Consider the following 14,579-nt stretch of genomic DNA (forward strand, 5'->3'; position numbering starts at 1 on the left):
AAGACCAAACATTTATTTTTTCATTATACCACAAAGACCAAATTAATGAGGTCAAAAAATAAAATGGTCAAGGAAAATTAAGATAAGGGAAACAATCTTTGGATTCAGCATGAACAGTGTGGCAGAGGAAAGCTATTTGTTCAGTAAATCTGTTTCCTTCTTCTCCTAAGCACACATCTAGGGTTTATTTACCAATCTCCTATTACAGCTAACTGGCTTTGTGATTGACTTCTGATTAATAGAATATGGATAATATATACTGCCTCCAGACATATCCCATAAAACTAACTTTTACTATCCTCCATGCTTTCTCTTACTACTCTGACGACCAACTACTGCTGCCTAAGAAGACCCTGAGGACTGTAACCAAGTACCCCCATTTTTCTGTAGGTGATTTAATTATTCTCTTTTTCCTCTCTCTCCTCTCTCTCTCTCTCTCCTTTTTCTCTCCTCTCTCTCTCTCTCTCCCTGCGTCCCCTCTCCACCTGCCTCAGAACTTACACCTACTTGGAGGGCTTGCTGAAAGCATGTCCACTTGGCACCTTTTACAACTTTTCCCAGGAAGGTGCCAACCCAACTGCCTAGTAGATAACTGCCTGGTAGCAGGGGGACCCCTGCCTTCGCTCATCTCCTCCCCTGCCTTATAAAAATGCCTGCTTTCTGCTCCAAAGGTGAAGTGGGACATTTAAAAGAAGAATGCTTTGTGCCTCTTCCCCCCAATGAGCTTTGGAATAAACTCACTTTTTTTTTTTTTAATCAGACATCACTCTTGTTAATTGAACTCTACATTTAGTGGGCATCTAACTTGCTTTTTCGTTACAAGACCACATTTTGAAAATGGCAAACCCCACTCCCATCTACCCTACTGCCACTAATTAGCCATTATGTAAATAAGGGGAAAAAAAACCTTCTATTATGTTAAGTTACTAAGATTTCCAGGTATATCTATTACAAAAGCTAGCATTACCTTAACCAATTCAGAAAAAATTAACTTCAACTTTGTGATTTCAGAACAGACAGGACATAAACTATACTTCAGAATAAATCCCTGCAATGTGCGTGAGATAGAGGTATGAAATGAGAGTAAATAACAACAAATTGTAACATTACAAATATTAAAATATTAACAGATGATCATCTAATAACATCCCTGTAGGAAAATTATTATTATCAGAGAGAGTAAATTAACTTCGCTCAAGGCTTTTAAATTTCAAATCCCGTATTCTTTCTACTGAACCACATTAGTCTCTTAGAGAAATTGGGACAGCAAATGAAGACTCACTGAAAACATTTTATAATAAAGAAGAAATAGGATAGTAGCTAAAACATAAAGTCAAGAAATTTTTTTTTGCTAAAATTATAGATACAATGGAAATGGGATGAATAGAAATAGAATAGTAGCAAAAAGGAACTGGAACTTAAGAAGTACAGGATAAGCCATAAGGGTGATATGACAGACAAGCACATGAGAGATGAGTAGCAGTATGATACCATGTAACGAAGTCCAGGCTGTCCGCAAACAATACACAGATGTAGTGGGTCAGGCCTGTGTAGCTCTACATCTTCCTCAGGAAGTTCTCTTTGGTCTTAAAGCATCAGGTAGAGCAGAACCCTAGCATGACAAGAAAACTTTGTCTAAAGTGGTTCTGAGAGCAGAAGTGAAGTACGTGACTGTAGGGGAAAGATTTTCTAGCATAACTGAGGGTATCGATGCACTGACAAAATAAGCAGAATTGAGAGACACTAGTTCTAGTACAGGATAAACAAACCATTGTAGTGAGTATGGAGGAGTGTATTAGAATCATAACACCAAGATTAATTAATCTCTTCCTCAGAGATGATAAAATAATCTACTACCTCACATGCACTTTCCAGACTTCATGAGGTTCCCTGCCCTGTGGTTTTATTACTTCAAAGAGACAACAGTCTGGGAGTGGGTACCAAAAATATGAGCTCAAACCACCATTTTCTAGCTTAAACTCCATTTATATCCACTTGCTTTGTTGTGAACATAACTTTTAAAATCCTTTTTATAGTTCTTAGTATGTTTTAAAAGCCAGGTCTTCATACTTCGTAGCAGTTTTCTTAAGTTTTCAGCCTCAACTCTATGCCAAATCAAGAGTCCTTCCACACACGGTTTATACCAAGCTTTGGACCATCTTTAAAACTGTGTATTTTACCTCGCACCTTACCTCAGGACAGAGGCTTTAGATTCCATCTACAGTATCTACCATACATACCTTTTATAAACTTTTTAAAATCTGTCTTCTTCTATTTCTCAAACCTCTCTAGCTGGATAGTATCTGCCTATCTTTATTCTAAATAATTACTTATAAATCTAGCTTTATATACTCACATGCAAGAACTTAAATTTTTACTTATTATATTTCATTTTCTTAAACATCCCATAACTCCTGCCTTTTAAAATGTTTGTGAACCCTGATTCTGTCATCTCATTCTCCTTTCAAGCATATTCTTCTACAAAAAGGAAGAGAAAAGTCTCTTCTAACCAAACAGTATTTACATCTATGTCAGATGGATGATTGCTACCCATTTATTGTATGTATTGCATTCTAAACAGCTTAAAGAATTAAAGCATTACATGGTACTTATATTTACCTCTCTGTCCTCAAATAACATCCCATATTAAAGCTACTTTTCCTATGTTACACCTGCACAATGTGGAATACAAGCTCTTTTTCCTCTCTTCTCCTCAATCTACATTTACAGAAGACTGAATTCATAGGGCAGGTAGTCAAATTGCTAGTGTATAATTTAAATAACAGAACCAATTTCGTAAGAACATTAAAGTTAGAAATTCTAACTGAATGCTTCTCTTTTTCAAGCCACAAAATTTATTTACTACAGTACTTTAGTCTTCTAAAAAAATCAGGTACATCTAACAAAAACCTTAGTACAGGCATGCCCTACTGAGATTGTGGCATATTTTCTGAATAATGATATAAAAAAATTCACTCCTAAAACAGGGCATCTTAAAAAGGAGCTAAGGTCGGCTGGGTGTGGTGGCTCACATCTGTAATCGCAGCACTTTGGGAGGCCAAGGCAGGGGGATCACCTGAGGTCAGGAGTTCGAGACCAGCCTGACCAACATGGTGAAACCCTGTCTCTACTAAAAATACAAAATTAGCCAGGTGTGGTGGCACATGCCTGTAATCCCAGCTACTTGGGAGGCTGAGGCAGGAGGACTGCTTGAATCTGGGAGGCAGAGGCTGCAGTGAGCCAAGATTGCGCCACTGCACTCCAGCCTGGGCAACAAGAGTGAAACTCCGTCTAAAAAAAAAAAAAAACAGGAGCTAAGGTCAAAACAATACAATTTTGCTTTAATTCTTTAAGCTGTTTAGATGTCTCTGATCTAGCCAATAAAAATATTGTTCATATAATCAGGAATAGATTGTTAACCATAGAATGCCTCTGAAAAACAATTTTCTTTGAAATGCTGTCACTAAAATTAACTGCAACTTTATTTATATGACTGTCTGTGGTTTTCGTGTATGCCTAAAAAGCACAAGAGAAAGATAAAAATATCCCAGAATTGGAAAAGTAGTCATTATGTTTGGTTTAGCTTACTTTCATATTTTTATTTTTAAAATCCATCCGAATTAAAGTTTACCATTTTTCAATAGAAAAATAGAAGGCAATTTCTTTATGTAAAAATGGAAAAAGAAATTCAGCATCCTCTAAATTAAATTTGGAATTTGATTAGTGAATGAATGCCTAAAATCCTTTTCCACCAGTTGTAAGGCTGAACACATATCTATTTTTCATTTAGAACTTACATACATCAATTATGTGTTCCCTGGGAAGGAGAAGTGGCAACAGAAAATAATTTGAATATAATATTATATTGTGAGCCCATGTGTGTTCTCAGATAAAATAAATAATAAAGTTGGTCCCTATTCAATAACACAGCCTTCTCTTAACATTTCTCAACCTTAGTTCTTCCAAATCACAGAATTCTACATTTACACTAAAAGACTAACCATTTACACTAAAATGCTAACCACAGCTAAAAGTGTCACTCCTAGAAATCTCTCAGATCTTGGCTGACACTAAGAGTCAAAAGATCAGGGTTTGAATCCTAGCTCTGCTGTATCCTTGCTGTTAGATCTCAGTAAAGTTATTTAAATTTCCTAAGCCTCTGTTTACTTATTTGTGAATTAATATACTACCACCATTATGTACGTGAGTTCATCACAATCTATTAATCCTATACAACTGCTACATATTAACATGAATGTTACATGCTAATGTTGTTCCACCATTATGGAAGGGGTAAGAATTTTTCCCATAAATCATCAGAAAAGGGTCACGACTACACTGGAAACAACAAACCACTTAAGGATTAAGCCAGATCACCTTCAATTAGACTAAAATTTTATTATATCTATCTTTGGTCTTGAAGCCGCAGGGTTACTCAAGATCACATAAGGCATCACAATTATTCAAGCTATTGTTGTTCATATACAGAATATTCACACTCTCTAAAGATATGCAAAAATAAGGCAATAAAGACTGGACAATAAAAAATTAATAGTGATTTATTCTGTTTTTAAAATGGACTTTGATAGATGTAAGATAAATTTATTTTGTACTTGACAACACCATAGACATTAAAGAATTGAAATTGCGATCCATTATGGAAAAAGGAAAAGGAAAAAGAAAATTTCTGACGTAATCCAACAGATTACTCTTTAAATATTAATCTAGCCCAACAAATCTTGAAATGCTATGCTAAGAATATGCCAAGAAGTCATCTAGGAAAATCTTAGGGAGGAAAAGTTCTGTCTAACTCTTAGCACCTCCATTTCACTATTCTAACAGCACATGACTCCACTTATTGGAGAAACATTTATAGCACTTGAACATGGCAGTGTCTGTCATACAAAGAGAAAATATCTATTTACTAAGTAGTAAAATCAGTATGTTTCTCTCCCTTGCTACTGGAGAAATAAGAGAGGTATCATAGGTATCTATTCTCTTGGTTTTCAAAACAACACTATCCTTTCTCTGTCCTAGCTAAATAGCTATGCCAATCCATGATTTCCCTTCTCCCTCTATGATGTCTGTTGGTTCCTGAAACTTATGAAGGTGAGTCACTGCTCATACTGTTAAATTGGTATAGTTTATATCTCTCCACACTTTGATGTGAATGGAGGTAGGAACCCACAATAAGTTCTAACAGGTCCCTAGCACCAAAAATTTCCCCTCAATCACACTAAAAGGGACATTGAAACAGGGTTTAAAAGCTTTTATAGAACAAATGCCTGCTTATTCACACTGTAAGGCCAATTACTGGTATTTGCAGGCATATGGGGAAAAAGAGAAAGGAATGCAAAGGGCTTTCCAAAAAGCCATTTTCCTTGGATCCTCACATTCCTTCCCCATTTTTAATGCCAAAATTCAAGATTTACCCCCTCTGTAGGCCTACAGAACCCTCAGCTTTCTTTACATGGCTGAGTTATAACAATCAAAACTAAGCACCTAGCAATGTATCTTTAATTTTCAGTGAAGCAAAACTGGACAGTTATTAGCTACGACGAGAAAATTTACAATTTTCAATACAAAATATCTAACAGATATTTCTGATCCATGCCAACAAGAGAATGAACAATTGTTCCTGTGGGTAAGGTGCTGAGATATGTTGAACAAACAGCAACAATACTAATTAAACAATGGGACAACTCATTTATGGAAGACATTGTTCTAATCATTTTATGTGTATTTTTTCCACTTTATCTTTACAACAACCTATGAGATTAATATAATCATTATCCTCATTTTATAGATAAGTATTCTGCTGGCTCAAAGTAGTTGAGCAACTTGTCAAAAGTCATACCACGCAGCTGAGATTTTAACCTAGGCACTCTGCTCCAGAGCCTGCACTCTTAAGTATCATGTTATACCAAATGTCCTCTCAACAGGACTGCTTTGAAGACACTGCTTCTATGTGTTTATGTGTGTGCATATCCATAAACACAATATAAATAAGTACACACACACACCCCCAGTAAATCTGGAGAACCAAACTTCGTAGACATATTACAAAGTACTTTAGTAATCACCTTTCTAGTCCCTCAGTTTACCACCATGGATCCACCACCAGATAGAATATCTTGGGTAGCATAAATTATGTTCAACCAATAAATTCCTTTAAAACGGGTAACAACAACAACAAAAGGAGTTGAACTGCACTATTATAAAATAACCTTCAGACCTTGTAGCTAAAAACAAAAGAAATCTAATTTGTGATTTTAAGATCAAATTCAAGCCATGACTGGTCAACATTAAATGAACTTTTGGTTTTTTATTTATCTGTGTTTTTTGTTTTGTTTTTACTAAGACAATAACCTGGACATTTTCAGGAAAAAAAAAATATATATATGTGTATCCCTGAAGTTACTAGGCTAAGACTTTTACTAAAGAAGCAGTGGAATTTTTCTGCTTTTGAGTATATGAAAATCATCAATTTCATCTTTTTTTTTTTTTTTTTTTTTGAGAGGGAGTCTTGCTCTGTCGCCCAGGCTAGAGCGCAGTGGCACGATCTTGGCTCACTGCAAGCTCCGCCTCCCGGGTTCATGCCATTCTCCTGCCTCAGCCTCCTGAGTAGCTGGGACTACAGACGCCCGCCACCACGCCCGGCTAATTTTTGTATTTTTAGTAGAGACAGCGTTTCACCGTGTTACCAGGATGGTATCAATCTCCTTACCTCGTAATCCGCCCGCCTTGGCCTCCCAAAGTGCTGGGATTACAGGCATGAGCCACCGCGCCTGGCCCTCAATTTCAGCTTTAATATTAGAAATTTAAATGAGAAAAAGAAGAGCAAAATAGGCATTCTAGAATTAATATATTCAAAGATGACCGTACTTGAGGGACTAGGAGGGAAGATAACTATTTCTAGTACTGTAATATCTTACAATTAAATTATCAAATTATTTAACAGCAAATGTAACATAAATGTAAAAATCAATGTGACAAAAAAGAAAAGTAACATTATAAATATGCAATAATACAACAACCACTTACCAACTCAATTCCCTGTGGAAAAGGTGTATCATCCCAGTCCTTCTGTGGAAATCTCTGGATTATTTTCCCCAGACCTTCTCCTGATCCTGTTAATAAAATCAAAGTGAATCATTATTATAGGACACTAAAAACTACAAATACTCATTCTACTCTTACTTATTTCTAAATGAATATTTGGTAAATAAGTTAATAAACTGATTAAACATTTTCAAGTTTTAAAAAACATGTGAGTATGCATCATCTAAACATTATGCAGTAGGACCTCCATATCCATGGGTTTTGCATCTGCAGGAGACACCCAACCATGAATTGAAAATATTTGGGATGAAAAAAACAATAAAATTAACAATGCAACAATTTAAAAATGCAAATCTTAAAAATACAGTATAACAAATATTTCCATACCATTTTCATTGTATTAGGTATTATAAGTAATTAAGAAATTATTTAGAGTATATAGGAAAATATGCATAGGTTATATGCAAATACTACACCATTTTATATAAGGAACTTGAGCATCCATGGATTTTAGTATCCGTGAGGGTTCTGGAACAAATCCCCTGCAAATACCCAGGGATGACTATACAGAAATAACAGGCAATCTCTATTCTATAAACACTTTTTTTTGAGGCAGAGTCTTGCTCTGTTGTCTAGGCTGGAGTGCAGTTGTATGATCTTGGTTCACTGAAACCTCCGCTTCCCGAGTTCAAGCGATTCTCCTGGCTCAGCCTCCCGAGTAGCTGGGATTACAGGCACCCACCACCATGCCCAGGTAATTTTTGTACTTTTAGTAGAGATGGGGTTTCACTATGTTGGCCAGACTGGTCTTGAACTCCTGACCTCAAGTGGTCCACCTGCCCTGGCCTCCCAAAGTGCTGGGATTACAGGTGTGAGCCACTGCACCTGGCCATTATTCTGTAAGACTGACTGATACGTATGAAAAGCTAAAAAACACTAGCCAGAGGCATTGAAATCTAGTCTCTACCACGTTATGGGAGTAACTGCCCTTTGTGCCCCAATAAGGAAATTAATCCCAAATTGAAATTTAAGAAGAACTTTTCTATGGAGATGAAATAATTTCAAGTAACAAATGAAATGGCACTGCTAGCACTAAGTTTCAGTTATGGGCTATAAATACTGTTACTGGTTAAAGTTTCTGAGGCTGGCCTGGGAACTTGACCATTGTTTAGGCAGGGTTTCCCAACATCAGCACTACTGACATTTGCAGATGGATACTTCTTTGGGGGAATGGGGATTGTCCTGTGCATTGTAGGATGTTTAGCAGTATTCCTAGTCTCAATTCCTAGATTCCAGTAGCACCCTCTACCACCAGCAAGATGTTACAATGAAAAATGTCCCCAGATGTTGACAAACGTTCCCTGGGTTGAAGACCACAGATCTCTATCACTGTTGTTATAAAATTATCCTGTGACACCGAAGAAGGAATCAACTTCCCATTGAACTTTGGGGATGTAATTTGTGAGTAAACTGGGGATGGAAGGTACATGTTAAATCTAAACTAATTCTTGCTATAGTTTTTTAAGATCTTCATGTTCCTTGCATATTCTACATGTTGTCCTAGTTCATATGAAATGAAGGCAACAATATTCTGATTATTTGTTTTGTATACCTAACTTGAGGAAGTCTTCACAACGAATTCATTTTGTTAATATACTGTAAAAATCATCCACTATGATTTCTCAACCTCATCTCTATGAATGCAACTTCTCCCTTGCCCCTCACCTAAACTGCAATCAATTTACGGCCAAATTTTTATGTTTAAAATATAAATGGAAAGTGACATTCACTTTACTGACCAACTCAGAACTGTATTCTGAAACGAGGTCAAACCAAAATCCATTTGAAAAAGACAAAATAAAAATATTCTCAATTAAAATGAATAATTGCTGCAGTACAGTAACTTATCTATCTCTTGTTATAGGGGAATGAAGGATTTTGTTAAGAGTAAACCAACTTTTTATCATAGGCACTCATTCTTCAAAATCCACCTCAAGCATCATCACTTACGACATCCCAAGCAGGGTTAATGAAACAAATTGCTAGGTGTTGGAGGTACACAAATGAAAAAGACATAGTCCCTATCCTAAAGGAACTCATAATCAATTCGGGGAAACAAACAAATGAACTGATAATTTCAGTTATGTTATCGTAAGCTCAATGATAGAAAGACCATACAAAACTTTCTGGAAGAAATGACAGCAAGCTTACTTCCTTTCAGTAACCAACTTGTTTCCCCAAGCACCTGGCATACTGAATTCCTGGCATATAGTCTATACTGAGTAAAATGTTTACTTTAATAAATTCATTGGTACTGACTGAAATTGTTTTAAGTTTATTCCTCCCTTCTTTTTAAAGAGATAAATTAATGTACTTATTCTATCATGTTTAATCACATCCCTACATTGTTTTTTCAGTTCTGAAAGCCATACTAATGTATTTTACGTTCAAGAAATATTTATCATATTAATTATTTTTTGGACAGGGTCTCACTCTGTTGCCCAGACTGGAGTTCAGTGGCACAATCATCGCTCACCGCAGCCTTGACCTCCCAGACTCAAGCGATCCTCCTACCTCAGCCTCCAAGTAGCTGGGACTGCAGGTGCAGACCACCACAACCAGCTAATTTTCATATTTTTTGTAGAGACCGGGTTTCGCCACATTGCCCAAGTTGGTCTTGAACTTCTGGACTCAAGCAATCCACCCGCCTCAGCCTCCCAAAGTGCTAGGATTATAGCGTAAGCCACCGTACCCAGCCCAATCATATTATCTTTTACTAATTATAAAAGTAATGTTAAGTGCAGAAAGGATTTTAAATACATAAAAATATAAAGAAGAAAGCACCCATAATCCCACACCTGGAGACAATTATTATTAACATTTTGGACTATCCATTTATTCCTAGGTTTCTTGCATAAATATATATATATATATATATATATATATATTTTTTTTTTCCTACAAAATGAATACCACACTGAACCTAACTTTATACACTGGCTTATTACTTAATATTTTACAAAGGGCCTTAAATGTTGTTGAACATACATTTTCTAGTTTCTCACTATTATAAATAATACTACAATAAACGTCTTTATTTACAAATCTTTAACCTCATCTCACTTCTCCTGAAAAAATACTCTTTTCCAGATTCTACCTCTAGTAAACTGTGGCAGCACTGTAGCATCTGTCAGCAAATGTCTGAGGCATTCTGACAACATTTCTTCCTTTTACTGAAGCTAGAATTGGTGTGTATCCCTTATAAGAAAAGAACCTAAATGGGACCACACTACTCTAAGAGGCACTTTGATAGATAGATTGAGTTCTTTCAAACTGGTAGAGGATCTGGAAACAATTACAGTCATACTTGGGAGATACTGCAGGTTTGGTTCCAGCCCACAGCAATAAAGTGAATATTGCAATAATGTGAGTCACACAAATTTTTTGGTTTCTCAGTGCATGTAAAAGTTATGTTTACACTATACTGTAGTCTATTAAGTGTGCAACAGCGTTACGCCTAAAAGATGTACATGCTTTAATTTAAAAATGCTTTATTGCTAAAAAATGCTATCAATCATCTGAGGCTTTAGCAAGTTGTAATCTTTTTGCTGGTAGAATGTCTTGCTTCGATGCTGATGGCTGCTAACTGATCAGGGTGGTGGCTGCGGCAATTATTGAAAACGAGACAACAGTGAAGTTTGCCATATCGATTGACACTTTCTTTCACAAAAAATTTATCCATAGCATGCAATGCTGTTTGATGTTATTTTACCCACAGCACAACTTCTCTCAAAAATTGAAATCATTCCTCTCAAACCCTGCTGCTGCTTTATCAACTAAATTGATGTAATATCCTAAATCCTTTGTCATTTCAATGAAATTCACAGCATCTTCTCCAGAAGTAGATTCCATTTCAAGAAACCATTTTCTTTGTTTATCCATAAGAAGCAAAGCTTCATCTGTTAAAGGTTTTATCGTGAGATTGTAGCAATTCAGTCACATCTTCAGGCTCCACTTCTAACACTAGTTATTTTGCTATTTCCACCACATCTACAGTTCCTTTCCCCACTAAAGTCTTGAACCCCTCAAGGTCATCCATAAGGGTTGGAATCAACTTCTTCTAAGCTCCCGGTTAATAGGTTCATATTTTTACCTCCTCCCATGAATTATGAAGTTATAATGGCATCTAGAATGGTGAATCATTTCCACAAGGCTTTCAATTTACTTTGCCCAGATTCAATCAGAGGAATCACTACCTATGGCAGCTACAGGCTTATGGAATGTATTTCTTAAATAGTAAAACTTGAAAGTCAAAATGACTCTTGATCCATGGGCTGCAGAATAGATGTTGTGTTAGCAGGCATGAAAACAACATTAATCTCCTTATACATGTCCATCAGAGCTCTTATGTTACCAGGTGCACTGTCAATGAGCAGTAATATTTTGAGAGGAATATTTTTATGAGCAGTAGTTCTCAACAGTGGGCTTAAAATATTCAGTAAACCATGCTATAAATAGATGTGCTGTCATCCAGGCATTGTTGTCCCATTTACAGAGCACAGACAGAGTAGATTTAGCATAATTCTTAAAGGCACTGGAATTTTCAGAATGGTAAATGAGAAACAGCTTTAATTTGAAATCACCAGCAACATTAGCTGCTAAAAAGACAGTAAGCCTGTTCTTTGAAGCCAAGCATTTACTTCTGCTCTCCAGCTATGAAAATCCTAGATGGCATCTTCTTCCAATACAGCCTGTTTCGTCTACACTGTTACTGTAGTGTGGCTGCCCTCATCATCTTAGCTAGATCTTCTGCATAACTTGCAGCAGCTTCTACATAAGCACTTGCTGCTTCACCTTGCACTTTCATGTTATAGAGACAGCTTCTTTTCTTAAACCTCATGAACCAACCTCCAGCTTCAAACTTCTTTTGCAACTTTCTCAGCCTACACAGATTTGAAGAGAGTTAGGGCCTTGTGCTGAGGATTAGGCTTTGTCTTAAGAAAATGTTGTGGCTAATTTCATCTATCCAAACCACTCAGACTCCATATCAGTAATAATGCTGTCTCATTTTCTTATTATCTGCATTCACAACTTGGCTGTTTGGTACAAGAGGCCCAGCTTTTGACTTATCTTGGCCTTTGACATGTCTTCCTTACTAAACATAATCATTTCTAGATTTTGATTTGAAGTGAGAGACATGCAATTCTTCCTTTCACTTGACCACTTAAAGGCCATTGTAAAGTCATCAACTAACCCAATTTCAATACTGGCGTGCCTCAAGGAATAGAGAGGCCTGAGGAGAGGGAGAGAGATGATGGAATGGCTGGTCAGTGGTGCAGTCAGAATACATAAATCATTTATGGATTAAATTTGCCACCTTTCATGGGTGTAGTCTGTGGCATGCCAAAACAAAACAGTAATATCAAAGATCACTGATCACATATCACCAAAATACATATAATGGAAAAGCTTGAAAACTTGTGAGATTACCAAAATGCGACACAGAGACACAAAATGAGCCCAAGCTGTTGGCAAAATGGAGCTGACAGACTTGTTCAACATTGGGTTGCCACAAATCTTCAATTTGTTAAAACAAACAAACAAACCCACCCATAATATCTGTAAGGCACAATAAACAAATAATAAATAATAAGCAAAGAACAATAAACCAAAGTATGTCTGTCTATAAAAAGGAGATTTAGTCAGAAAATTTGAAGCAAAAAGTAAAGCCAGGTGCACTGGCTCACACCTGTAATCCCAGGGATTTAGGAGGCCCAGGAGTGAGGAGGCCAGAAGTTTGAGACCAGCCTGGGCAACATATGGAGACCCCATCTCTACAAAAATTAGCTGGGAATGGTGGTACAAACCTGTAGTCCCAGCTACTCAAGACTCAACTGGAACCCTTGTGCATGTTGATGGCAATGTCAAATGGTGTACCTACTATGGAAAATATGGAATATGGAGGTATGGAGTATGAAGGCTTCTCAAAAAATTAAAAATAGAACTATCATATGTTCCAACAATCCCACTTCTGGGTATATTTCCAAAGGAATTAAAAGCAGGATGTTGGTCAGGCATAGGGGCATGCTATTGTAATCCCAGCAATTTGGGAGGCTAAGGCAGGAAGACTGCTTGAGCTGAAAAATTAACATTTATCTGCGTTTTGATTGTGACCTATCATGGGAGGTTTTATATACATATGAAACAGGGTTAAGAATATGGACTCAGGATCCAGGTTACCTATACTCTAGTCCAGTTCCACCATTCCATCCTGGGAAAATTACATTACTTCTCTGTGCTTCATTTTCCCCCATATAAAAAATGAAGATACTATTACCTAACTCTTAGAGCTCTTGTGAGGAAGAATTTAAGTTAATGTGCATGTAAAATATATACCAGTATGAGTAGGTGCATGTTTCTCAGAACAGCACTCCAACCTGAACATAATAGTTGAGATTACTGAGCCGGTCTGAATAACATAGTGTAGAGAAGAAAACTATTATTGTTCTAGACAATTATGTTATTAACAATGAAGAATGGTGTTATTTAAGGTCTCTTGGTGGCCACAAGACTCTTGATTTACTGGAGTTACTTTTGAATGAAACATGTAAATCCCTTTTTAAAACATGTTTAATGCTGTTCTGTACCTGTACAAAAGATTTTTCAGACTCAAGTTTTATCCCTGTTAAATTTCTTTAGTCAGCTCAGTACATGCATTTTTTGGATCCTATGTCAGTTACCCAGTGTATTTATATCCATTTTTTATTTAATTAACTTACTTTTTTTAGTTACAGATATATACTACAAAATGCAACCATTTTAAATTAACAGTCTGATATATATTGACAAACTCTCAATAAAAACAATTGCAGTAGAATAAAAACAAAAATGGAGAACATGGAAATTAATTATGTTATATTAAAATATTGCTTAAGGAGTTCCTCCAGAAAATATTTCCCGAAAAAAAATTCATCAATATTGGCATAAGTCCAATTATAATTTCCCGATAATAATCAAAATTTCCTGAGGATAAAAGTCTTGGTCAAAACATGCTATATACACATTACTGACACTGGCACCAGTGCTTCTATTCCATTCTCTCCCAAAACAATCTGCTTGGAACTTCAGCATTGTACCTAGCACCTGTTCTTCTCTCTTCTTCATTAAGAATATCATCTCAGAAGAAATGGCTAAAGCAAACGCACAGCACTAGAAAATCAGACTTTTGGGTACATGTATTGATTTACTCATTTTAATAGAATAGAAGCTGATCTAAAGATATCTGTCCAAAGACAGAACTAAGATGAAGGCCATATTCAACTTGCAAGTTCCAAGTATCCCATTTGTGATTTGGAAAATCTGCTTTTGAGCAAATGATTTTTTTAAAATGTTATTTTCATGTTCTCTAGAAGACCTGTGTTATAATGCCAAGACAGCCAGAAAATCAAAGTTCACCAGAATAAGTAGATCTAATTGTGCCAGTATAGACCAACTTTCAAAAGATAAGGAAAATAAAA

The 14,579-nt window shown here is 36.2% G+C and overlaps 1 protein-coding gene across 11 annotated transcripts in view; it reads right to left on the bottom strand.

The window, feature by feature from the left end:
* SBF2 (SET binding factor 2) overlaps positions 1-14,579 on the bottom strand; it is a 526,174-nt gene that overhangs the window by 408,190 nt on the left and 103,405 nt on the right. For all 11 annotated transcript variants that reach the window (NM_001425069.1, NM_001425070.1, NM_001424318.1 and 8 more), the window contains one exon: positions 7,045-7,130. In NM_001425069.1, the coding sequence (NP_001411998.1) occupies positions 7,045-7,130 (86 nt within the window). The remainder of the gene's footprint in view (positions 1-7,044; positions 7,131-14,579) is intronic.

The sequence above is a fragment of the Homo sapiens genome, chromosome 11 (genome assembly GCF_000001405.40).
Source record: "Homo sapiens chromosome 11, GRCh38.p14 Primary Assembly".
In the NCBI taxonomy this organism is placed as follows: Eukaryota; Metazoa; Chordata; class Mammalia; order Primates; family Hominidae; genus Homo; species Homo sapiens.